This window comes from Homo sapiens, chromosome 17 (assembly GCF_000001405.40).
Source record: "Homo sapiens chromosome 17, GRCh38.p14 Primary Assembly".
Classification (NCBI taxonomy): Eukaryota; Metazoa; Chordata; class Mammalia; order Primates; family Hominidae; genus Homo; species Homo sapiens.
The window spans coordinates 73817395-73843628 of record NC_000017.11 but is presented as its reverse complement, the minus strand read 5'-3'; the positions used below and the strand labels follow the sequence as shown (position 1 = coordinate 73843628).

The window sequence follows — 26234 nt, the reverse complement described above, 5'->3', positions numbered from 1 at the left end:
GACTCTACCACTTTGGCTGGGGGTTGCTCCTGGAGGATGAAGATGAACCCACAGGGGTTGGCAGCCTGCTCCATGACTAAGATCACCTTCAGGTCAAGGATGGGACCCGCCTACAGATGGCCTCTGCAGTAGACTAAGGGGCTATGGGTGGGCACTGACTGCGTTGGCTAGGGAGAGCTTCTGGAAGCCAAGGGACCTTGCCTGACATTCAAACAGGTGGCCAGGGGTTCATACAGGACTGTGTGGCTGCCCTGGGTGGCCCAAACACAGTGACTCCTGGGTCAAGCCCCCTTTCTCATGCTCCATCTCCCCTTCCCACCTTGCGTGATCTCTGCACGGCCAGCCCAGGGACATTTTGCTTCCTAGAAGAAGCAGGGAAACTGGCCAATGCCAGGAATCTAGCCTCTGCAGGCCAAGGGGAAAAGAAGAACAGAAAAGGAGAACCCTTAAAATATCCCTCAACTGTTTAAGGATTGGAGATCTGCACTAAATCTTGAGAAAAAGGAGTAATTACACTGTCAGCAAAGGTGATATAATTTTTAAGACTCAGTTCCACAGCCGTAATTTTTCCTCATCCTCCCCGTGTCTCCTGGGGGATTTAGGGGCCAATTACCTGTCAGTTTGCCGAGAGGTGCTGTTCCCAGGCAAGAAGCCGTCACTTGCCACAGCTTTCATAGAAAATCAGTTGGCTGGGAGGGGCACCCAGGGCTGTGAGGGCCACACCATGGGCAGCCAGAGGGGAGCGGGGGAGGACAGAGCACTGCTGGCCTCTGACCAGCCCTCAGCAAGAGAACGCCATCTAGGCCTCTATCCTAGCAAGGCCAATCCAGACAGAGGCTTGGGGTGAAGGCTTGGGGGGTCGTGCAGGGAGCAAAAAGGTTCTGGGGTCCCCGGGCAGAGGGGCTTTTCTAACAGAATCTGAGCATCTCAGGGCAGACCAGGTCCTTCCAGCCCAGTGTGAGGTTGCCATACAGAGGTGAAGCAAGGGTGGCCCTAAACACAAGAGCTCTGAAGTTGGGGGCAGCCTGAAGGGAATCCTGGCCCTATGTGATCTCAAGCAGTTTCTTAACCTCTCTGTGCCTGCAGATTCTTAGGGAAAAATGGGTTAAGAAGGAGACCCACCTTATCAGGCTGATGGTAATTACATTTTAGCCTTACCTCCACCTAGTGCTTGATTCCTGCCAGGGGTCGCCCAGCCTCTCTTGAATACCTCAGTAGACAGGGAGCTCACTAGGTGGAGAGGTGATCCATTTGCTTTGGACCACAGGGCTGACCCGGACTGAGTCAGAATTTCTTCTTAGTGTTCCCCCATTGGTGCCCCGTTAACCCATCTCAACCCTTAATCGTGTGCCCCAAGCTCTAGGGCTCAACTATCAACACCAGCTACCCACTCCCCGCCACTCAGGAGCATCACAATCAGCCACTCCAGCTGTCCTCGGGCTCTGAAACATACAAAGTTTCTACTCCACCAAGACAGTCTGGGCACCCCTGGGCTGGGGGACTTGACCCTGGGATACCCTCCCTGCCTGTTTATCCTGAACTTAGGATGTGTCTTTGAGGATCAGTGGAGTCATCTTGTCTTTATCTCTTTTCCTGCTCCCTCCTTGTTCTCAAGGCCCCAGAAATTCCTTGGAGCCTCTCTCTAAAATCATATGACTCTGGAGGCCTAATTAGCTTGGGCTTCCTTCTGGTTTGGGTTTCTCCCTGGGGCATGTTCCCATTCTGGTCAGTAGAGGATGCTGTGCTCCATGGCATCAGTGCCACCAGGCCATGCTGGGCACTGTTGGGAGGTGGGGATTCAAAGACAGGTACCACATGGTCGGGACCCACCAGGGGCTCACTTCTCCTCCAGGGACCTCTTGCTGTCCCAGGAGCATCTCATGGGAGGAATGTGGCCACTGGGCTATAGGTTAGTGTGGGGCACAGTAGGAAACCAATATTCTGCCAGGAGAGCCCCCTCCTTTGCCCTTCCCTCAGGGTGAGCACAACTTCTTCATCCAGAGACAGTATGAGTAGGTCATACTGACAGTATGAGTAGGACAGTATGAGTATGAGTATGTGAAGGTCACACAGCCCTGCAGCCAGACCATCTAGTTTAAATCCTGCCTCCTCCATTCCCAGGCTATGTAATCATTGCTCCATGCCTCCGTTTCCGCATCTGTTCAATGAGGATAATATTTGAGTTAAGTGACTTGAATGCACGTGGAGCATTTAAGAAGTGCCCCATGTGTGTCAGCCCTAAGCTTTTGGTCATTTGTCCTTGACCCCAGACTTTCTGCCCCTTGGGGATACAAAAGTCCCTCAAGTAACTGTACCATCCTCCTTGGAGAGCAAGGGGGCTGGGCTCTCTACCCCACACTGGGCTGGAAGGGCCTGGTCTGCTCTGAGATGCTCAGATTCTTGCTCTCCTTGGAGAGCAAGGAGGATAGTGCAGTTACTTGCAGGACTTTTGCATCCCCCAAGCTGCTCATCAGAAGATTCCTTTCACCCTCACCAGGATCTCTAGCAGTATTCCAGTGATTTCTACTGAGCTGTGTGAGCTGGCATTTGGGCACCTGCCCTATCTAGCTGCCCTGCCTGCTGACCTGGCTCTGATGTGGAGGTCACTTCCTCCAGGAAGCCTTCCTGGGTTTGTAGGATGAGAGGAACAGGCTCTATCCATGCCACATCTTCAAGACATCTGATGATATGTACTCCAATCTGTTCCACTCTGAGATTTTTTTAGACCTTGTCACTTGGAGACCCGGAATTTGAACCCCTGACAAAATGCATGAGTCACTAATGTCCACTCTTCTATCTAATGGCTATCTTCCCTTTTCTCTGTAGAAATACACAAAGTCATATAAGTCATTCATTTCTTTAAGTTTTGTGATTTGGGTATTTTATAGTTACAGCTTCCAACTAAGGTTGTGAATCTCAGACTGTAGGGATGGGGACTGTCTGTTTGAATTGCTGTCCCCACACCCACACCTCCACCCCCACCCCAGCCTCGGGACCAGAAGGTTCTTTACAGAAACCAACACCGGAGCTGGAAGAACTGTCTAACCCCTACCCCTTACTTTCACAGGTGGGAAGACACTGCCACTGTCAAATGCACACAGTTAGGGTGAACCCAAGGGCCCTCCCTTGTTCTGGGATCATCTTGTCTTGCTAGGCTGCTTTGATGGGGGTCTCACGTGCCCAGGTGGGTGTTTCCTCCAACTTCTGGGCCTGAGCATCCATGCTCTGTCTTCCTTTCGCCTCCCACCTTTGCCTGTGGCTCTCAGGCAGCTCTTCCTGGCTCCAGCCATTCCCCTCCACCTGGAAGAAAGAAAGAGAAAAGGGAAGGGCTGCCTGAGGGAACAGGGCCTTCCTCATGCAACCTCTTCAGCTTTGTTCCAACCTTCAGTGAGTGCTCAAGAAACGGAAGAAGTAGCAAAGAATTGGAAAAGTTTGGGGCAGGATGAGGAGGCTAGAAAAGCCTTAAAGAGCCACAGGATAATGAAAAGTGTCCATCCTAGTAACTGGGAAGGAATCTTCCCTCCATCCACTCACCTGCCCACACACCATGGACCCACAAGACACACCAGGATCTAACAGGCCACCTTTCTCTAGCAGTCCAATCTTAGGGAGCATTTGCAAAGGGTACAACCATCAATCTACCCAAGGCTCTTCCCTCATTAGAGCCATGGAGAGCTGTGGTTGAGCATGGGGTAGTGGTTAAGGGTAGGGGCTTAGTTAAGGGTAGTGGTTAAGTCAGGGCAACCTGGGTGTCATCCAGCTCATGATCCTATGGCAGGTGCCATGACTGCAAGTGCTACATCAATAGAATGGAGATGAACAGTATCAGGTTATGGGGAGATTTAAATGAAATAAGGCATCACAACACCAAGCACGTGGCACGCAGAAAGGCTCAATAAACACATTGTTTCTATTTTTACTGGAAAACAGAAGGAGAAGGAAGTTCACCGCTCTTTCTCCACTTCTCACATCTCAGAGCGCTTGATTTCCGGCCACTGGGGGGACATCCAGGTTTCTGGATGGGAAAGCAGGGACCCCTCCCCAGTACCTGAAGGCCAGCCCCGCTCCCAGGAACCACGGGAGCTGCATGTGTAAGCTCTGCGCATGATCTAAGCAGTTAGGAAAATCATTAAGTGCTAACTTTTCATTTTTTAAATGAAGTTCTGGAGTTAGAGATTTATAATTGCTAATGAGCCAGACTAATAATTAGTTGCTTTATAATAAGGGTGATGATCACTCAGACAGAGGTAGAGAGAGCCAGGCTCTGGCCTGATTTTTCTCCTGTAATTATGTGACATGCCCAACTGCATGGAACTCCTCTTCCCCTTCTGTTCTTTTGCTCCACTGTAGTGCCAAACTTCCCTGGCACTGTCCCCACACCCACACCTCCACCCCTACCCCAGCCTCGGGACCCTGAGTGCCCAGTGCCTCCTCCCGAGCAGCTGTTGTCCACTGCCTGCCTCCTCTGATGTCCTGTGACCTGAGTCCATCTACCCTTTCTCGGTACCAGGGTGGGCTGGAGGGCTGGCTCCCAGGGGATGCAGAGCCAAGCTGGGCTGGCAGCCAAGTGAAGAGGGCTGGGATTGAGCGGACTCTTGTCTGTGGGCTGCTGCCTCCAGCTGTCACCTTGGAGGGAGGTGGAGACTCCTGCTATCCTCCATGGTGGCCTACAGCCCGAGGGAGGCTGGCAGTAGAGCTGTTCCCCAGCAGACAGAACGGGGGCCTCAAAAGGCCATGAATTAAACTACCCTGGTGATGGAAAGCAGGGGGCCAGGAGAGACAGCCAGCCCAGGGGACAGGCTGCCCAACCCCCATGACCTTCAGGGGTCTTCCCAGTTTCTCGAAGGTGGATTGGAAAGAGCTCTGGAGGGCATGCTGTGACATGGTTTAGAGTCACGCCCACCATTATCTGGCTGTGCGACCTGGGCAAGCCTCTTGATGTTCCAGGGCCCAGATTCACCTGGGTGTAAGGTGACAAAGCTGGACTAAGAATAAAGTCTTCCTGGTCACTGAGCCTCTATACGTTGCTTTGACATGGGCATGGCTTTAAGAAGAATGCAGGAGAACACAAATTTGTCCCCTTCCAGCAGTGCTGAAGCCTCTAGCACCCCTTGGGACATGGGGGCTCACAGGAGGGAAGGGTCCCAGGGGAGCCAGTGAGGGAGCTGATGGAGACAGGCACAGAGACAGACAGGTCCTCTGTCACCGTTCGCTTGTGGCTCTGGACTTAAATATTTATACCGTTTGGAAGTAGACCAGCTCTCCAGCAGCCTGTGACTTTAGCCTCAAGTAATTGGTATCTGTTTTGAACCAAACAGGTTAACTATTCATTTTTCCCTGGTGAAAATGGTGATTCCCTCACTCCTACCATACATACTTCCTACAGCCTCTTGAGGCTAAGGAAGTTCTCTGTGACTTGGGAATTATTTTAGTAAGAAAGCGGACACCTCTGTGCACAAAGCACAAAAGATACACCAACCTAATGTGAGCTCTACCTTAGAGTCCATGACAGAATTCAAGGGGTCTGCACACTTGGGTGGAGAATAATACATCCTTATTCTCACTGGCCTCAAATAAAAGTTATCATTTACTTCTGTTATGAAGATGGACAACAAACCACAGAAATATTAGCAACAACCGAGACTTTTGCACCAATGGAAAACACAGATATTTTCATATTACATTTTAGTTGTCGTAGATATCTCAAAATATTGTTTCTGCTCATCACTACTTTGAAATTATGGTAGCCATTAGACCTGTTAGACCTGCTGCTAAATCTTGCTATTTAACATGTTAATAAAGGAGCACACAAATGAACAGATATTCAGTTTTTAAAATGCAAATCGGCCAAGTTTGGTGCCTTACTCCTGTAATCCCAGCACTTTGGGAGGCTGAGGCGGAAGGATTACTTGAGCCCAGGAATTCAAGACCAGCCCAAGCAACATGGAACAATCTTGTCTCTACACACACATAAAAAAATACAAAAATTAGCCAGGCATGGTGGCATGTGCCTGTAGTCCCAGCTACTCGAGAGACTAAGGTGGGAGGATCGCTTGAACCCAGGAGGTTGAGGCTGCAGTGAGTCAAGATCATACCACTGCACTCTAGCCTGGAGCAAGACCCTGTCTAAAAAAACAAAAAACAAAAAAACAAAACCACACACAAATTACTACAGATTTGCTCTTTTGAATAGTTTGATAGCCATGTCATAATATAATTTCTCTCCTTTGTAACTCTATATATTTTGTTCTCCCTCCTCCCTCTTCCCACTCCATATTTAAGATCCACACTTTCCTCCCCTCATCTCTTCCCAACACGGGGCACGTTGGAAAATCACTGTTGACCAGAGACTGACAGATCATGTTGGACACGACCCAGAGGAGGCCAGAACCCCAGGGGGAGAAGGTGTTAATGTGATCCAGGGAGAGTGTATTAGTCCATTTTCACGCTGCTGATAAAGACACACCTGGGACTGGGTTTATAAAGAAAAATTTATAAAGACTAAGAGGTTTAATGGACTTACAGTTCCATGTGGCTGGGGAGGCCTCACAATCATGGCAGAAAGTGAAAGGCACATCTTACATGGCGGCAGACAAGAGAGAATGAGAGAGCCAAGTGAAAGGGGTTTCCCCTTATAAAACCAGCAGCTCTCTTGAGACTTATTCACCACCACGAGAACAGTATGAGGGAAACTGCTCTCATGATTCAATGATCTCCCACTGGGTTCCTCTCACAGCACATGGAAATTATGGGAGCTACAATTCAAGATGAGATTTGGGTGGGGACACAGCCAAACCGTATCCGACAGGGAAGGAAAAGACATGAGGAAGACAGACACTGAGGGCTCTGCCCCCACCAGCTCCCGTGTGGCCCAGGCAATGGCCACACAGGTGCCTAAAGTCTGGGTGGGGCAGTGGCTGGCCAGAACACTAAACAAGCATCCGCACACCAGAAACAGCAAACAGACAAAACATCTTCTGGAGTCCTGAGTGGGGCTGACTGTGGGGTCCAATCCACAACTACTGCTGGTTTCCTCCAGTCTGGTGGCTAGGTATGCAGGGAGAGCCGCTGGTGGGCCCAAGTGGACAGCAAGATTTCTTGGTGCTGACTCTTCTGGTCACTTCCTACCAAGGTAAAGAGCATGTTTCAGGAATACACTTGTGTCCATTTTATTCAACAAGTATACTGAGCATCTCCTAACGGCATGATGTTGAACACAGTAGTCAGGCACAACCCCACTCAGGAGCTCAGGATAGAGCGATGGGGAGGCGGGGGGAGCACCATTAGGAAAATAGCATGCCAATAATTAATGACCGTTAATCGATAAATAATGACAAATAGTCGATGTTTGGGGCAGTGAGAGACTATAACAGAAAACCTGATATCATACAATAAGCTCAGCTCTTACAGGTGCCCCTAGACTGCCACTGTGACGTGTCATTCACTTCTGATCTTTCATTTTGTAGCAAACTTAAAATTCAAGATGAGATTCCCTGGACCCACCACGGTCACCACACTCCCTGGACTTTTCAGAACAGCTCTGATTTCAAGAATTCTATTCCTTTGTTCTCATAAACCATAGAAACGTCAATATTTTCAGCAACCAAACAATGTCTCCTAGATTGCCTTCTCTCAAATCCACTTGCACGCAAATCTTCCAGGGCTCCGGGTCCTGATTTGAGGTTTGGAAAATGTGTTGTGGGGGAATTATACTGCTCAGCCACTACTGCTTCCTCCTCCCCTAACTCCCACCCTTCTCTGTCCAGTCCCCCACCGTCTATCTCAGACAGTGCTTACGCAGGAAATGAAAAGCCGTTTGGAAATTAGAGTAAGCAAAACAGAATAAGCGAGACAGGTTGTGGTGTAGAGAGGTCACATAATTCATTCTCAAGCCCAGTGGAAAAAAAGTGTTTCTTTCCTGCCGTTTGTATAGAAAATTGAGCATTTTCTGTTTCCTCACCCAGTACAGTCTGTCTTCAAAGACTCTGGGTACACTAGAGGAGAGGAGTAAGTTGTAACGGATGGAGTAATTGGGCGAATTAAGCCTGGAAGTAAAATTCTTTCTACTTGGAAGGGGCAGGACTCTGCAGAGGAGGCAGGCAGCATTTCACTGAGGTGGGTTTGGGCAGGGGTGTTTTGCTTTTGTTTTTCAAATAAGAAGAAAGATTTCTTTATTAATGGCAGTTGTAGAATAGACTTGCAGTCCTCTAGGAAACCACCGGTGATCAGGGTCATGGTTCATGAGGATGATGGGTAACAGCTGTCATTTATTGAACACATACTACGTGCCAGGACCCAGGAAAGCGTTTTATATGGGCTGCCTCATTTAACCCTAACAGCCCTACAGAGCACGTACTGTTTCTAACGAGAAACTGAGAATTGAAAGAGATAAACATCTCATTCACTATCACACTGCAGGTGAGCCCGGGAGCCAAGATGTGAATCTCAAAGCCCGTCCCCAGCCCTCACTCTTAGACACCGCCCTGTGCTGCGAAGGGCAGGGCCATGCCAAAGTTCAATAGCACCTAGGTAGAGGGAAGACTTTCTGGAAGAGACACACCCCTAAGCAAAATTTTAGAAAGGACGTATTCTAGCCTGGCAAATGTCAAGAGGGAAGAAAAAGGAAACGGCGGCTGTGTCCATCTCACAAGTAGCTGGTATTGTGTCAGAATCTTTACCTACGCTCTTGTTTAAGCCTGAAGACGTGAGTTAGGTATAATGACTCCCATTTGACAGATGAGAAAACTGAGGCCACACCGTAATCGAAGATTCGAGTCAGTTTATGGAAGGACCAACCTCCTGACACTCATCCCCATATTCTGTTCAGGGCTTCACTTAGCAAGCCAGCAAGGCAGGGAGAGTTCAGAAGGTTGGCAGGGAACGACTGGCAGAAGCATCAAAAAATTAAGTTAAAAATCGGCTCCAAAACACCTCCTCCAAGAATCCTGCAAAAATTGGTAGCGGGCTTGGTTTTCATGGCACCTGAGAACCTTGAGCCCAGCAGACCCTTTAACAAACACTTGTTGAATAAAACCTGTGAACAAGTGACTGAATTTTAAGGTCACCTTTTTAAAAGCAGGCGTTGTCTCTTGATTGGGGTCCCTCACCCATCTCTTTGGCCCTAGTTCTGTCTTGTCTCTCTCCGCCCGCCTCTTATCTATCACGCTCGCTTTTCCTGCCTTCTCTCATTAGCGCTGGAAGGGAAATGCGCCACTCCAATTCTCCGGCTGCCTCCTCACTGCTGTTGAGCTTCAGAGCACAGTATTTAAATCCTGTTAAATAACCTGTTTTCATGGGCAATCACAGCCAGGTTAGTAAATTCCCCACACGCTCACGCTTTAGACAAAACCGACATCCCAGGTCCACAGAAAATTGGCCATTGTCCTTTAATGGTGAAATTGAACTGAGCAAATGGTGGCACTTTAAAAGAAAGTCGTTGCCATTCACACAAAAAGTTCAGCCTACTGCTCTGGAAATTTCCAGTTCACAGCCCATTTCTCTCCAGGTATAAAGGAGAAAATAAATACCCTTGCAAGGCAAGTGATTAATTTCAGCCAGCATTTTTGAGGCTCCTGCTGATGGCTGGCTCTCGGGCTCTTAATCGGTGGCCCTGGCCAGGTGGGGGGTCCCATCTCTGGGATTTCAAACTGGCAGCTTCTCTGCTTCCACGTGACTGCGAGTCACAGGAGGAATATGCCTCTTGTCATGCTCCAGAAGATGGAGAGGCAGTGAGCGGAAGAAGCTGGGAATTACTCATTTTTTTTCATGACTCTAATGGGCTACGAACCTAGCTTCTGTCATGTTCTCCACCACCACCTCCATGCCTTTAATAGGCACCACTGTGTGCATGGCTGCACATTAAGGGGACTGTAGAGAGATGCCAAGAGGTATATGAGCGTGCCTCCATTGGTGAAGGGATTCAGTAGCTTTATTATTATTATTATTATTATTATTATTATTATTATTATTATTATTATTTTTAGAGACAGAGTCTCACTCTGTCGCCCAGGCTTGAGTGCAGTGGCACCATCTTGGCTCACTGCAACCTCTGCCCCCTGGGTTCAAGTGATTCTCCTGTCTCAGCCTCCCAGGTAGCTGGGATTACAGGCGCCTGCCACCATGCCCAGCTAATTTCTTGTATTTTTAGTAGAGACGGGGTTTCACCATCTTGGCCAGGCTGGTCTTGAACTCCTGACCTCATGATCCATCCGCCTCGGCCTCGCAAAGTGCTGGGATTACAGACGTGAACCACCACACCCAGCCAGTAGCTTTATTTGATCCTGAGGGTGGCTCAGAAGATGCCTAGACTTCCTGCCACTAGTAGATGGTTTAGATCCAAGCCTTTAGTTTTTTATTTTATTTTATTTATTTATTTTTTTATTTTTTTGAGATGGAGTCTCACCCTGTCACCCAGGCTGGAGTGCAATTGCACTATCTCGGCTCACTGCAACCTTCACTTCCCAGGTTCAAACTTCTGCCTCAGCCTCCCGAGCAGCTGGTACTACAGGTGCCTGCAACCATGCCCAGCTAATTTTTGTATTTTTAGTAGAGACAGCGTTTCACCATCTTAGCCAGGCTGGTCTCGAATTCCTGACCTCGTGATCCTCCCACCTCGGACTCCCAAAGTGCTGGGATTACAGGTGTGAGCCACTGCGCCCAGCCAAGACTTTGGTTTTTGTTATACGTGGGCAGCACCCAGAAATGGCACTCATCTCCCATTTGCCCTAAACCAATAACACCTTGTGAATCAGTCATCGACTACTGTGTAACAAATAACCCTAAACTTGGTGTGGCCTCAAACAACAACCATATACTCAGTCTCAATTCTGTGGTTTGCCAATTTACAGTGGACTCAGCTGGTCTGAGATGTTCTACTGAGCTTCACTGAGCTCAGCTGCATTCATCTGCACAACTGCTGGGTGGGCTGGAGGCTGGTTGGCCTAGCTGGGCCATGGGCTAGTTCAGGCTTGTTCACAGGTGGTCTTAGTGTTCCACGGTCAAGAGTGGAGGCTTCATGGCCTTAGAGTGGACACATTGTCACTTCTACCAGCTTCTGTTGACCACAGCAAGACAAATGGCCAGTTCAGATTCAAGGGGTGGTGTAGTAGTTTGAATAGTGTCCCCAAAAAATGCGTGTCCATCTGGAACCTCAGAATGTGACTTTCCTTGGAAATAGGGTCTTTGCAGATGTAAATAATTAGGGATCTCCAGGTGCAAACATCCTAGATTTAGAGTGGGCTCCAAATCCAATGACCGGCATCCTTGTAAGAAGAGAGGAAGACACAGAGACAGAGAGACACAGTGAGAAAGACACACAAAGTCAGAGGCAGAGATTGGAGTGATGGAGCTACAAGCCAAGCAAGTCCAAGGATTGACACCAGGAGAGAGATCTGGAGTGGATTCTCCCCTAGAGCCTTCAGAGAGAGCATGGCCCTTCCAACAACTTGACTTTGGACTTATTCTGTTGTTTCAGCCACCTGCTTTATGGCAATTTGCTACAGCAGCCCTAGGAAGCTAATATGGGAGGGAAATAGACTCCAGCTCTTGATGGGGGAAGATGCAAAGTCATATTGCAAAGGATGAGAATACAGGAAGGCAGGGGGAAGTAGAGCCTCTTTTGCAATCTTGCACCTTGGTTTACCAGTCCCCACTTTGTTCCTGGCAGGTGTCTTAAAACCGAAGAGCATCACAGAATGCCAGACACCAGACACTCACCACACGCAGTGGGTGCTATTTCTGCACCAGGCTCCAGAGAGTGCGTTCCTGGGTGCTGACGCTCCTACAGCTGCCTCCTCTGCAACAGCCTCTCTTCCCTGTACAGATTCCTCACCACATCCAGCCAAATTGCCTTCATCTCAGCAGAGGCTGTAGAAGGCAGACGGCCAGGAGAGTGGGGCCGTCAATGCACTGGGTACAGCAGTGATCCTCCAGGATTTTCAACACCTCAGGTCCTAGTGGCCTGGGATGATCTGACCCCAGACACCCTCCCCAGATGCAAGTCCATCCCCAATGCACAGGAAGGAATACATCTCTGGATTGACTAAAACATCATACTGGAAAGGAAGTTTGACAGAGGAAGGTCATTCTCATTCCACAGGCACTTCAAAGACAGGCTTCTCTCTTGGGAGTCGAGCTGTAGCTTCCATGAAGTTTTCAGCACGTTTTCTGAATACCCACCTGTCATCGATGCTTGGAGGTGCAAAGTGGGTTGGATGACTGAATCCTGCCCTTGAGAGCTGACACTGTCACCAACGTTGTTGAGATGGGCTGGAGTCACCCACTGAGCACTCAGTGACTGGTACGCCAAAGGCCAAGGCCTCACGGTGGACACCATGATGAAAACAACATACAATTAGATGGGAGGAAAACATTCTGTTCTTCTCTGGCACAGAAGAGTGGCTATTGTTAATACTAATGTACGGAATATTTCAAAATACCTAGAAGAGAGGACTTCGAATGTGCTCACCGCAAAGACATGACAAATATTGGAGGTGATGAATTTGCTAATTACCCTGATTTGATCCTTACACAAGCTATACATGTGTGGACACATCACACTATACCCCATAAATATGTACAACTATATGTTCTTTTTAAAAGATGGAAACGATGCCAATGTCCATCAACTGGTGAATGGATAAACGGAGTGTGTGTGTCCATATGATGGGATCGCATTTGTCCATGTAAAGGAAGGAAGTGCTGATACACGCCACAGCGTGTGTTGGTGGACTGCTCGGGGCCCATGCACACCTTGTGTCCAGGCTTCCTCTTGCAGGACCAGGATCTTCCCTGTCTCCTTCCACGTTGCTGAAGAGTCACCCTGCATCAGGCAGTGGATCACAGTGGCAGAGTGATGAGCTTGATAGACAAGGAGCAGCCTTCAGGGAGCTTTCACCCAGTAGGGGAAATGGATGAATAACCAACAACAACACCTACTTACAGCTTGTGAAGGTGCCAAAAAGAAACCAGAAAGGTGCCCTGGGAGAGGGGAGCTGGGGTGGGGATAGTGGGTGAGAAGGAGTTGAAATCTGAGCTGGGACATGAGGAACTGTGCTATACAGGGTTGAATAGTGCCCTCCCCTGCCCCCACCACCATTCATATTTTCTCCAGGAACCTCAGAATTTTTTTTTTTTTTTTTTTTTTTTAAAGAATCAGGGTCTTAGTGTGTTGCCCAGGCTGGTCTTGAATCCTGGCCTCAAGCAATCCTCCCACCTTGACCTCCCAAAGTGCAGGGATTGCAGCGTGTGCCACCATGCCCTGCCAGAATATGATCTTATGTGCAAATAGGATCATTGCAGATGTAGTTAATGTGAGGTCATACTAGAGTAAGATGGGCCCTTAACCCAATATGATTTGTGTCCTCATATGAAGGGAGAAGAGACACAGCCATGCACAGAGGAAAGACAGTGAAAGCACAGACACGCAGAGGGAGATGGCCTCGTGACAACAGTGGCAGAGGCTGCAGCGATGCAGCTACAAGCCAGGGAACCCGGAGGATTGGTGGTAACCACCTGCAGCTGGAAGAGGCAAAGAGGATGCTCTCCCACAGCCTTCAGAGGGAACAGGCCCCTGGCAAGACCTTGACTTTAGAGCTGGGCCTCCACAATGATGAGAGAAGCCATTTCTGTTGTTTGAAGGCACCCAGTTGATGGCAATTGGTTACAGCGTCCACAGGAGGCTGAAACAAGAGCGAAGACTGTTCCAGCAGAGGGAGGAGCCAGCGCAGATGACTTCACGAGAAAGTTCCTAGGCCTGCTGGAGCAGCGGCCGGGACGCCCAAAGGAGCGGGAGCCCTACAGGCAGGCAGGGATGGTCCCAGAAGGAGTTGGTGCCCAGCCACAGGGTCTTGTAGACCATGGTGATGATGTTTGTTTTATTCTAAGAACGCTGGGAAGTCATTGAAGGATTTTACAAGAAAGATGAAACATGATTTGAAGTTCATTTTTGAAAGATCGCATCAGCTGCTCTGTGAAGAGGAGTTTTGAAAGAGGCAAGAGAGGAGGCAGGACAGCCACTGTGGCCTGCAGGTCCTCAAACGATTACACAGAGTTACCGTGTGACCCACAGTTCCACTCCTCTGTATAGACCCACGAGAAACGAAAACATATATTCATACAGAAACCTGTACAAAATGTTTAAAGCAGCATTATTTGTAATAGCCCAAAGATAGAAACGACATAAATGTCCACCAATGAATCCATACAATGAGGTAGTTATTTGGCCATAGAAAGGAATGAAGTGCCGATAGGACAGCATGAATGAACCCGGGAACCATCACGATAAGTGAAGGAAGCCATTCACAAAAGACCACGGATTGTATGATTCCATTTAGACAAAATGCCCAGAAGAGGCAAATCTCTAGAGACAGAAAGTAGATTACTAGTTGCCTAGGGCTGTAAGGGTGAGCGTTGGGGAGGGGAGATAGCTGAAGGGTCAGAGCTTCTTTTTGAGGTGATACAAATGCTGTAAAATGGACCACGGTGACGATTGCAGCTACATGGAATATACTAGCAACCATTGAATTGTATACTTTTTTTTTTTAAGTGAAAGCAAGCTTATTAGAGAAGTAAAGAAACAAAAGCATGGCCACTCCATAGGCAGAGTAGCCTGAATTGTCCACTTTAAATGGGAGAATTACATAATATATGAATTACATTTCAATAACGCTGTTTAAAAGAAAAAAAAAAGAGTGAAATCTCAGAGGAGGCCACTGAGCACTCTGGTGGAAGAAAATGGTGACTTAGGCCAGGGTCATAGAAGTAGAGACAGCAAGAAGGGATGAAAACAGTGGATTGTGGAGGCCGAATAGACAACCGATGAATAGGTCAACACCTGCTGTCCATCTGTACGAGGGAATATTATTCAGCCATAAAAAGAAATGAAATGAACCTTGCTGCAACATGATGTTAGGTGAAATAAGCCAGACACAAAGGCCCCATATGGAATGATGTCACTTACACGAGGTTTCTACAATAGGCAAATTCATAGAGACAGAAAGAATGGAGGTTACCAGGAACTGGGAGGAGAAAAGAATGGGACATTATTATCTCACAGTTCCAGAATTTGTTTGGGATGATTTAAAAAAAAAAAAAAAAGCTCTGGAAATAGATCATCAGGATGGTTGCACAATGTTTTGAATGTAAATGCCACTGAATTGTACACCTTAAAAGGGCTCAAATGGTAAATATTATGCTATGTATATTTTACCATGATGAAAATAAACGTACAAAAGTGAGACAGCAGTGAGTCTAGGCCTCCCTTTTAAGAAGCGATGGCATCAAAGAGAGCAGAGGAAGAGAGATGGAAGTTAGGAAGGGGTTTTTCAAAGAGCAGATTCACGGGAAACGATTCATTCGTGCAGGAGAGAAAGGATGAAGGAGGAGCGGGGTCCCTTGAATGTCCACAGGCAGAAGACGAGGGCAGAAGGGGAGGAGGTTGTCTTTGTGGCGGACAGAGGAGCTGTGAATAGGGAGGGAAACAAGGGTGTGCCTTCCGTTTACTCAGCACAGGAAGAAGCAAGGCGAGGAAGAACAGGCTCCTTTTTGAAATGCAAAAGCCTGTTCTTATCTAAACACTCTTGCATAAGACAAACAAGAGCGCTACCCAGTTGGTGACTTGGGACAGGAATGCCTGCCACCCTCTTAAACGTTCTCTCCCCTCCCCTAGCCTAGACTGAAGACCTCGGCCTCCAGCTTCTCTCCCAGACCCTTTCTTGGCTGGATGAGGTCACTCACCCCTTTTGAAAGCTCCACAGGCATTTCTGGACCAAGTTCCCTCACTCTTTTAAATGGTTCTGTAATTGCTTCATTCGCATAAACCTGCCCTCCTGGGCATCTGAACAGCCCCAGGGCAGGGCCTGACTGCAGAGCCAGCTTCCTTACGCCAAGGCCCTCGTGCCTGCGTCCCTCCTCGCCTTCAGCCATGAGGTTGCCTGGCCAGCGGTGGGGGTCGCCTGGATCGTGGGGATGTTCCCCCCACCCACCTGGCCCCACCAGTGAAGGGCCCCAGCTGACACCATCTCTCTTGTTTCCTGTTTTCCTGGGTCAGACCCAGCTGGAGGTCTGCAAATTCTGAAGCAGTTCTCAACCCTGGGTGCACATTTTAATCATTTTTTACAAAATACGAATGCCTGATGTCCAGCCCTGACACTGGTCTGCTTGGTCTGGGGGTGAGGCCCTGGAACGGATGTGTTTAGATTTCCCATGAGACTCTGATGTGCAGCCAGGGTACCAACCTCTGCTCTAAAGCAGGTGAGATTGCCCTGGGGACTTCATTAGAATCAGTGCCCAATTCCTCCACCCCCGCAGAGATTTCGCTTCTGGAAGTCCAGAGTCGAGGTCCAAGAATCTGTGCATTTTAACAATACAGCCCCCAGGGGAGCTTGATGAAGGTCCCTTGGGAAGTTCAGGGCATGGTGCAGGGGACACTGTCTCTCTCTCCTTCCCTCTCATCTGCATCAGCTCCCCAGGCAGGTGGCACTTTCTCTGGACAGGTCTGGAGTCAGGGCTGCAAGGCTGGTTTATGCCTGGAGGTCGGGGGATGATGTGAGGTGTGCATAGAGAGAAGCCCCTGTGAGGAACGGGGACCACTCCTGCTCACCCACATCAGTGACAGCCCAGCCTGGGGCTGGCCCTGGAAGGCCAAAGAGTGAACAGGTCTGGGGGCTGGTGCTGGGTTGAGCTCAAGGGCCTGGGGCTGGGGTCTCCATTCCAGATTCCTCCTTCCCTCTGTCACTTCAAGTACCATCAGAGCCACCTGGGGATTTTGTCCTGAGTCACTCTGAGGCAGAGCAGGTGAGGCTGTGCTGGGGAGGAACATGGGGGCCTGAGCCCCCGACTCCTCCCCATTCCCCCACCTGCCCTGCTTCAAGGACTTGTCTAAACTACACAATGCCAGGCCGGCGCTCCCAGCTTGGGCTCTCACCCCAGGTCCCATTGAGAAGGTGGAGAAGGGTCAGGATGGAAGTTTCAGGCAGGTGGTCCAGGAGAGGACAGTCCTGGGTGGAGTCTGGGTCTTGGGTGCTCTGGGCAGCTCATCACCTTGAGTGTCCAGACTGTCAAGTCCGAGCGAGACAGGCAAAACCCCTAAGTGGACAAGAGTTGGCAGGGACCAGGGCAATGATTAAATCCACTTCAGATCATTTCTGTGGCCGTCTTGTTACCCAGCCCTGGCTATGTGTTTCAATAACGGCTGACAGCGGGTGCAGTGAGCTGGGCTGGAAACTGCCACATCCATCCACCCTGCTCAGGGACAGCTGCTCCCCTATCCACAATTCCCTTGTCCCAGAGGCCAGGACTGAGGCCAGGACACTGACTAGACACCCAGGCCTCCTGGCCTCTAAGAGCCACTCATGGGAGTCATCCACGACATCTGGGGAACCTCCTTGACTTCAGAGGAGGATATTGGAGCCCAAGCTAATTGATGGGTAAGCCAGGACCTGAACACAGGTGGTCAAGCTCCATCCTCCCCTTGGAGAGAGGACACAGTCCTACAGAAAGCCAGACTGCTTGGATTTGAATCCAGGCTCTGCCTCAGACGAGCTGTGTGACTCTGGACCTGGGTCTCAGCCTCTCTGTGTTCCAAGTGTCCTGTCTATTAATGTGGACGATAACAGTCCCTACCTCTTAGGGTTACCATGGGGATTAAATCTGGTAATTTAATTTTTGTCTTTCTTTTGAGTCAGAGTCTCGCTCTGTTGCCCAGGCTGGAGTGCAGTGGTGCGATAGCTCACTGCAACCTCTGCCTCCCGGGTTTAAGCAATTCTCCTGCCTCAGCCTCCTGAGTAGCAGGGATTACAGGTGTGCACCATCACGCCCAGCTAATTTTTTTCTATTTTTAGTAGAGACGGGGTTTCTTCATGTTGGCCAGGCTGATTTTGAACTCCTGACCTCAAGTGATCCACCCACCTCAGCCTCCCAAAGTGCTAGGATTATAGGCATGATTTTTCTTTACACCTCTTTATATTAGTGCTTACCACGTGTCAAATACTTTCCTAAGCACTTTATAAAAATTAAGCTATGGATAGTGACCCCGATGAGGTAGGTCCCACACTTTATACACAAGGAAACTAAGTCACAGAGAGATTAAGGTTATACAGCCATTAAGTGGCAGTTGGAATTCAAGCTGGAGTCTGGTTCAAGGGTCCATCCATGCTCTTCGCTACTTACCATGCTGATGCCCATATGCGTACCAGAAGGCAGTAGGTGCTTAAATGTTTACAGCACCAGTGATTACTATTAGACCTGAGCTGCAGAATTTGTGGCTGATGGTGGCTGGTCTGTGATCATTGTCTGGTGGGTGGGTTGCCCTAGCCCCCAGGCCTTCCTCTTGCTTTTTTTCCCCTCCACTCTTGAAAGGGAAGCTGAAGCTCTGGAAATCTACAACTATCTGCTGTGGGGGCTGCCTGAGCAGGTGGCAGGGCCCTTCTCTCCTGTTCCACAGACGATCTGATTCACGGTGGGCCCCTCGTGGCTGCTCCTGTCCACCTGGGCTACCACTCACACCCCTGCAGCCCTCCCTCCGATCTTCTCAAAGGCATGTGAGATGGTTTGCAAAAACACCCTCAACCCTGAAGAACAATCTAACTGTAAAATGCTCAAGGCTGGGCACAGTGGCTCACGCCTGTAATCCCAGCACTTTGGGAGGCCGAGGCGGGCAGATCACTTAAAGCCAGGAGTTCGAGACCAGCCTGGCCAACATGACAAAAACGGGTCTCTACTAAAATACAAAAATTATCCAGGTGTGGTGGTGTGTGCCTGTAATCTCAGCTGCTCCAGAGGCTGAGGCAGGAGAATCGCTTGAACCTGGGAGGCAGAGTTGCAGTGAGCCAAAATCATGCCACTGCACTCCAGCCTGGGTGACGGAGGAAGACTCCCTCTCAAAAATAAAAATAAAAATAAAATGCTTAAGAAAAATGAAACAAAACAAAAGCAATATCATTGAAATAAATGGCAGGAGGCTGCTTATTGAGGGGGTGTGGGAGAGACAGGGAGAGACAAGGAGAGAAGGTCATTTCCAGGATCTGTTCCTCAGATGGAGCCCAGTATGCACCGCTCTTTCCCAGAGCGGCCCTCTACAGATGAAGTGTCACAGCAAACAGAAAACCACAGATTCAGCCCTGGGGGCTACCAGCTTGGAGACTGGAAGCTTTCTGCTCCTCCTCTTAATTACTTTGTGCTTGAAAACCCTCGTGGCATATTGACCCTCCCAAGAAGCAGTAGGACGGGGGAGGACTCAGGACCTCCTAGACAGTCCTCTGAGTCCTGTCCCTTCATTCCCTGACAGTCAAAAGTGAGATTTTTTCCTCCATAAAGGAAAGGTGAGTCTGCCACTTCAGATTCTCAGCAGGCACTGCCGTCTCAGTGTTCTGGCCTGAACTCTTTGGAGGAGTCGTGTGACTACAAGCCTGAGAGCTGAGGACAGGGCACCCAGGGGATCCCAGGGACCAGCAGAGAGCTCTTTCCAGCTTCCTAGGTGGGTGTCCTGGCCAGTCCCACAGGCCCTTGTTTAATGGTCTGCTGTTGCTGTCTTGAAATTTTAAATCATTTTTCACAAGAATTGCAACATTTTCATTTTGTGCCGCCCTGCCAAGTGAAGTGGCTGCTTCTGCCTGGGGGTGTCAGTGTCCCATGGACATAAGGCACTGAAGTTAAGGGGCTCCTTTCTCCTCCCTCCTGGCATTTTTCACAGCAGGTTTCTCAACCACAGCAGTGGTGACACTTTGAGCTGAATTATTCTTTGTGGCGGGGGCTGTCCCGGGCCTTGCCGGATGTTTAACACCACTCCTGGCATTTACCCACCAGACGTCATCAGCACCCACCCTCCCAGATGTGACAATCAGAAATGTGTCCAGACATATCCAGATGTCCCTTATGGGGAAGGGAGAATCGCCCTGGCTTTGCAGACTCCAGCTGGAACCCCTGCTGCAAGCGATGGAGGAGGTGAGCTTTTCTTTCAGACTGACATAGAAAATTCCTTGGCAGGTCTTGTCCTGGGTTCACTCAGACACCACCAAAATAAGGAAATAGCTGAAGAAGAAGGCCAGAGCTTCTGAACGAAGAGAAACCCTACCAAATTTGGGTAGGGGGAGACTCTGAGGAATATTCCATAAGGTTGGGAGGGAGGTAGACAGGTGGATCCCAGACACCTGGACTCCTTGATGGAGGCAGGTCTAGCTCCCCTTCGCAGCTTCTGAGCATGCCCCCTGGCCTCCTCTTTGGACTCCTGCATCAAGAGGGCAGATGGGAAACCACCAGGCTTTGGGTCAGAAGACCCAGATTTAAATTTCAGCCACCCGCTATGTGACCCTGAGCCAGTTTCATAACCTTTCTGAGCCTGTTTTCTCACCCACAAAATAAAACTAACCATACCTACCTCGGGAGTCACGAGATGAAAGAAAAAGTGTGTCAAGCCCCTGGCAGGTGCTCAGTATCAGCAGCTATTAAGCTTTTTTCTAACCAACTCTGAGCAAATCCCTGACCCCCTGGAGCCCTCATTTATCCTCACCTGGGCCACAGAAAAAATAGCTGACTGGCGTCTTTCCCCCAGCCAAGGAGACAGAGACAGCCTGAAGATAAGACTGAAGTGAAGAGCCAGGCGCAGTGGCTCACACCTGTAATCCCAGCACTTTGGGAGGCTGAGGCAGGCAGATCACCTGAGATCGGGAGTTCGAGACAAGCCTGGCTAAGATAGTGAAACCCCGTCTCCATCAAAAATACAAAATTAGCAGCGCGTGGTGGCGCGTGCCTATAATCCCAGCTACTTGGGAGGCTGAGGCAGGAGAATCACTTGAACCTGGGAGGCGGAGGTTGCAGTGAGCCGGGATGGCGCGACTGCACTCCAGCCTGGACGACAGAGTGACTCCGTCTCAAAGAAAGAAAAAAAAAGGATTGAAGTGAAGAGCGAGGAGTGTGCCTGAGAAGAGGCAACCATCTCGTGCTTTCGTGAGTAATTAAAAATGGTATTTGGTCTCCGGTGATACCGCCGTGAAAGAACCTTGACAAAATGAGCTTCAAAGGTGCGGCGTTCCCCAGGTGTTTCCTCCCGAGTCCCACATCCTAGCATCTCAAACCCCATTAAGGGGCATCTGTGGCTGTGGGCAAGGCCAGGCCCGCTCTCTCCTTGAAAGAGATCAAATCCTGTCTCAGAAATTTGATTTTAATTGCGACTGTTCTTATTCATCTTGAAATTCATTTGAGGCCGTAAATCCACTCATCCTGCCTCACTTTCTTCATTCTATTTGGTATAAAGTGATGGAGAAAAAAATCATACTTCGCTATAGGTAAAAGGAATTGAAGTTTGAAACCTGGGCAAGGGTTGGCTCATGCAGGGGAGGGGCCTGAGAATTGTGCATTAAGGGAATTGTGTGTCCAAGTTTGAAACCTGGACAAGAGTTGGTTCATGCAGGGTGGGGGCCTGGGAATTGGGTGTTAAGGGCTCCAGCACTGCACTAAAATTCTCTTACGAGCTCAGCGTCTCCTTCTGATACTGCTGGGAATCTAGGAGGCATAGCTATGCCCTTGAGGAGGTGACAATCTAAAGTTTTTAGGGAACAGATGCCGACCAGTTGTCCAACTCCATATAGAGCTGAGCAGCAGAGAATCTTCCAGACACGTACGCTGGACTGAAGAAGTTTTGCTCCTATAAATTCTAGAGCTAGCAGAACTCTTCTGCCTGAAATGTCCTTCCCCACAGCCACTCACTCCTTTATTTGTAAAAATAACTCCTTTTTATTCTTCAAAACCCTGAGGATGAGCCACCTCCTCTGGGAAGCCTTCCTGGAATATTCCCAAGGGCTGAGTGAATCTTCTTATTCTATTGACTCACTCACTGTACTGCATTTACTTATCTATGTGTCTTGTGACTATTGCTCTATTCATCTTTGAGTTCCTAGGGGACAGGGACTTTGCCTCCCTTGTACTTTTTATTTTTATCTGGTTATTGGATTTAGCTATCAAGCCACTTAGAGATGGGGACCTGGACCAATGGCTTCTGGAAGTCCTTGCTTTCTCTTGGAGTTTCAGAATTGCTCTTTCGCCCCAAGATGAATACTTTGTCCATTTAGTAGGGAAAGTGGAAAGATAATTTCCTGACCCTAATATGCAAGCTGAGATATTCTCAGCCCTTAATGATCAAAGGGCTGCTTGGGCCTCCCTAGACACAGGAGTCTCAGGGAGGACTCTGTAGCTCCCAGGCTTAGTAAATGGCTTTAAACCTTGCGATAGCCCAGGCCTCCGTAATTAAATTTTACACGTTAATCTGAACGGGAGCTCTGCGAAGCGCTTCCTTTGAGCCCTGCAGGGCTAATTCAGCAAAGCAGCAGTTAGGACGCTGCTGCGGTGTAAATGGAAATAGAATGGCCGCCACCTGCAGGCTGGGCATTGGAAGCGGCCATATGTTAATGGGGGTACCCTGCTGACTTAAGGAGCATTGTGGAAACATCCTGTGTCCCATCAATGGGCTGCTGCCCCACGTGGGGTTTCACTGGATCAGTCCCTCTGTTTCCAGGACCATGTGCGGTGATGCCAGCAGGGATCTTAACGGTTCAGTCTTAATTGGTTCCGGCTGATTTGATGACTCACCACAACCCTAATATCAAAATGAGTGGGTGTAATGCTGGTGAGCTCCAGCATCCCTGGGTCTTCAAAAGTACGAACTGTGTTAAGAGGCAGTGGAGGAAGGCTGTCCAAGGCACCCGCCGTGATGAGGTTAAACCTGTCTCTATGTGGTTGAAGCCCATAATTCTTAGAACTTTCCTTGATTATAGTCTCACCTTACAACTCCTTCCAGAGTCCCTAAAGACCTAAGCGGGTTATTCCTTCCTGAAATAGCACTTGTTTTACAAGCTGTCAGCGAGGGAGTGGGCAGAAAGAGCTGTTAGTTGGGCAGCAAGCCACGCTTTCTCAGACTCTCACATACTAAGAGGTCACCTGGGCACCTTGTTAGATTCAGATTCTGAATCAGTACGTCTATGGTAGCCTGGGTTTTGCAATTGTTGTTTTATCATTTTTGTTTTTAGCAAGAGCCTTGCTCTATCACCCAGGCTGGAGTGCAGTGGTGCAGTCACGGCTCACTGCAGCCTCAACCTCCTAAGCTCAGGCGAGCTCCCAAGTAGCTGTGACTACAGCTGTGTGCCACCATGCCCACCTAATTTTTTGTATATTTTTGTACAGATGGGGTTTCATCATGTTGCCCAGGCTGGTCTTGAACTCCTGGGCTCAAGTGATTTGCCCTCTTCGGCCTCCCAAATTCTTAGTGATGGCAGTAGCAGGCCATCTGGTGCAGCTACTAGCTGCCATCACACTGGCCGCTGCAGGGAGGACACAGGGAGGAGGCAAACAGCCCTGCCCAGCAGCCCGCCACCCTGGGACCTCTGCGATGGGGCCAGGCCGGGTTGTGTGCTGGGGGAGGGAGAGCTCCCGGCTGCCCCCGAGCGTCAGGGCCACAGCGGGCGTTCGCAGCAATGTCACTCCTGCCCGGATGATGACCCAGACCCAGTGAGGACCTGGAGCCCCCAGCCCAGGCTGCAAGGGGTCACAGCCCAGTGCCATGCTCCACAGAGCTGGTGGGAGCTGGGGACAAGTGGGATCCCTGCCCCTTCCAAGTTGGTGGGGCAGGAGCTCCCAAGGTGCAAACTGCAGCCACCCAAGCCACAGCTGTAACTCAGGCACCCCTGTGCTCTTGGGAGCCGGGAGTAGGCAGGAGTCCCACCTCCCTGGGCAGGGCTGTAGCTGCCCAAGTCATAGCTGTGGATCTGGGCCTCGAACTCCATGGAGCAGGCAGGAGCCCCATGGCCCTGAGCACAGCTGCAGTCACACAAACCAGGGTTGCAGACCCAGGCATCCCTGCACTCTTGGGGAGCCTGGGAAGGCCCCCCTTGCCCTTGCAGGCTTGGAGGTTCCTGCTCCCACTGCCCGGCTCTCCCCACTCCAGGCTCCTGCTCTGATCTTGGAGCAGGGTTTGGGGCCAAGCCTGGGTGTTGTCACAGCCCGGCCAGGTATACACAGGCTTGGGGTGGTGCTGACATGCCAGCCCCCTGCTGCGTCAGCCCCCTCCAAACTTTGGGCACCAAGGAGCGTGGGGTGGGGGAAGTTGAAGGGGGGCTGAAGGTGGCTGGGTGCTGGCCTGCAGGTGCCCCTTGGTGCCAATAGCCTGGGCACCATGGATGGCCGAGGGAGGCAGACAGACTTCTGGGTGGAAAGGGGTGGGTCCCCAGTGAAGCCCTACCTTCAGGACAGAGCAGGCCTGAAGCCTGGGGGCCAGGCTGCCAGTCCTACAGAGCAGAAGGGGAATTACAGTGCTTTCTCCTGGGCCTGCCCATGGCTGCCCATGGACCAATCCACACACACTTCCCCCCTCTGAGGCCCAAACAAGCCCTGGGCTCAGCCAGAGGAGCCAGAGGACAGAGAGACAATGGGATGACCAGCTGCAGAGAGGAGCTACCCTCTCTACTGAGAGCTGCAGACATCAGGACAACCAGTTGCAGAGAGGAGCTACCCTCTCCAGGGCCTCCTCTCTGCTGAGAGCCGAACACTCAATGGGACACCCTGCTGACAGAGAGGAGCTACCCACTGCGGGTCTCCTCTGAGCTGTTGTAACACGCAATAAATCTCCTCTTCATCTTGCTCACCTTCCACTCATCTGTGTACCTCTTTCTTTCTGGACACGGGACAAGAACTCAGGCAAAGGCACCACCGGCCACAGACGTTTCTGGCCAGAAAAGCAATACCCTAAAGATCCCATAATACTAGGATTACAGGCATGAGACTCTGCACCTAGCAGGTTTTGCATTTTTAACAGTCCCCTTAGTCAAATGCCATAATTGAATGGCAAGAATCTACCAGCATCACCCCATCCCACCCTCACTGCAGTGTTATGAGGAGGGAAGGAGACTAGCTTTTCAGGAGCACCTGTTACCTGGCAAGTGGAGTGGTCAACAACCATGCAGAATGTGCTTGTTCGAGACTTTGGACAAGAAGGTTAACCATAGATCAAAACCTGGTGTTTATCACCTTTCAGCAAGTGGGGAAATGGAGGCTACAAAAGTTAAGGGGAGGTAGGCCCAAGGGAGAAGAGGATCGATTGAGGGGTGATATGTGATAGGAGTGGCCTCAAAAAGATACAACAGCCTTTCGGTAGTTCTGTGTTTGGAGGATGGGCCCTCTTATTTGATTCTTCCCACTGTTCAGAAATGGAGCGTTATAGGTGACCTTTGATTCTGGGGCCTTAGGGGAGGTGCATGGCTGTGGGGTCTGTGTACACTTTTAGGCTGGTGGTGAGGAAGCACACTCTTGCTCCAGTTGAAAACATTTTTCAACCCCAAATTTAGTGTGCACAGGAATCAGTTGAGGGTGGTAGTTCAAGTTCAGATTTCCAGGCTCCACTCCCAGGAACTCTGACTTGGTGGGTCTGGAGTGGCTCTGAGGACCATCTGAATGGCAAGCAAAGCAGCTTCGTTCTGATATTCAGGTGATCCTGATGTAGCGGACACATGGGTCTCTCTTGGAGAAAGCTCTGCCCTGTGTGTTTAGATTAAGAAAGACAGATATCTAAGGCAACCACAAGGACCAGAGAAACCTCAAAAATCCTCGTCATCAGAAAGTAGAACCTTTACTGAGTTTTTAGTTATAATGGACATTGTGCAACTGAGACATTCTCTCTGCCTTCCAAAACATGTGGCCATTAACTCATATTTGGGGAACATAACAGAATAAAATTATTACAACCATTTGGGTAAAGAGGAAGTAAGTTTTCTTAAGCATCTTACCATGTGGAAGACTAACTAGGTACCGGTATGTGGAATCTCATTTATTCCTCCTTCAGCCCAAATCGCTAAACATTATTATTATTCTCACTTTCGAGCTGAAAAAAACACGAGCTTAGTGAGGATGATCAATTTGTCCACAGTTGCACATGTAGGGCGCAGCAAGGACTGAAACCTTCTAACTTATGTTCTTGCCACAATGTCTTCTGGCTGCATTTAACCACTGTGTAGGCCCACTGTCAACACTTGGGCCCATTTGCCCAGACTGTTTGAATCTAGCCTCCGGCAGGAAGGCCCACGAGTGCAATGAGAGGCCACGGTGTTCTGTGGTCTCTCGCATGCATGCATTCATTTGCCCACTCAACAAATATGAATACCAAGCACAACGTTAGATATTAGGGGCATCTCAGGAAAGATGACAAACCTGGGCCCTCTCCTCCTCTCCCCTGGTGCCCCTCTTTGGTTGTGCCT

At 49.7% G+C, this 26234-nt stretch overlaps 1 long non-coding RNA gene across 1 annotated transcript in view, besides 6 other annotated features; it reads left to right on the top strand.

Moving 5' to 3' along the window:
* Nucleotides 265-765: an enhancer, noted in NCBI's record as "H3K4me1 hESC enhancer chr17:71839003-71839503 (GRCh37/hg19 assembly coordinates)". NCBI's record gives its function as "activates a minimal SCP1, AML or CMV promoter by ChIP-STARR-seq in naive H9 embryonic stem cells {active_cell/tissue: H9 hESC(naive)}" and the evidence as "EXISTENCE:reporter gene assay evidence [ECO:0000049][PMID:30033119]".
* Nucleotides 13254-13753: an enhancer, noted in NCBI's record as "H3K4me1 hESC enhancer chr17:71826015-71826514 (GRCh37/hg19 assembly coordinates)". NCBI's record gives its function as "activates a minimal SCP1, AML or CMV promoter by ChIP-STARR-seq in naive H9 embryonic stem cells {active_cell/tissue: H9 hESC(naive)}" and the evidence as "EXISTENCE:reporter gene assay evidence [ECO:0000049][PMID:30033119]".
* Nucleotides 13754-14255: an enhancer, noted in NCBI's record as "H3K4me1 hESC enhancer chr17:71825513-71826014 (GRCh37/hg19 assembly coordinates)". NCBI's record gives its function as "activates a minimal SCP1, AML or CMV promoter by ChIP-STARR-seq in naive H9 embryonic stem cells {active_cell/tissue: H9 hESC(naive)}" and the evidence as "EXISTENCE:reporter gene assay evidence [ECO:0000049][PMID:30033119]".
* LINC00469 (long intergenic non-protein coding RNA 469) overlaps nucleotides 15092-26234 on the top strand; it is a 79268-nt gene continuing 68125 nt past the window's right edge. Inside the window, exons 1-2 of the long non-coding RNA NR_027146.1 lie at nucleotides 15092-15181; nucleotides 19804-19941. This is a non-coding gene — a long non-coding RNA (long intergenic non-protein coding RNA 469). The remainder of the gene's footprint in view (nucleotides 15182-19803; nucleotides 19942-26234) is intronic.
* Nucleotides 15246-15755: an enhancer, noted in NCBI's record as "NANOG-H3K27ac-H3K4me1 hESC enhancer chr17:71824013-71824522 (GRCh37/hg19 assembly coordinates)". NCBI's record gives its function as "activates a minimal SCP1, AML or CMV promoter by ChIP-STARR-seq in naive H9 embryonic stem cells {active_cell/tissue: H9 hESC(naive)}" and the evidence as "EXISTENCE:reporter gene assay evidence [ECO:0000049][PMID:30033119]".
* Nucleotides 22120-22696: an enhancer, noted in NCBI's record as "OCT4-NANOG hESC enhancer chr17:71817072-71817648 (GRCh37/hg19 assembly coordinates)". NCBI's record gives its function as "activates a minimal SCP1, AML or CMV promoter by ChIP-STARR-seq in naive H9 embryonic stem cells {active_cell/tissue: H9 hESC(naive)}" and the evidence as "EXISTENCE:reporter gene assay evidence [ECO:0000049][PMID:30033119]".
* Nucleotides 22888-23509: an enhancer, noted in NCBI's record as "H3K27ac-H3K4me1 hESC enhancer chr17:71816259-71816880 (GRCh37/hg19 assembly coordinates)". NCBI's record gives its function as "activates a minimal SCP1, AML or CMV promoter by ChIP-STARR-seq in primed H9 embryonic stem cells {active_cell/tissue: H9 hESC(primed)}" and the evidence as "EXISTENCE:reporter gene assay evidence [ECO:0000049][PMID:30033119]".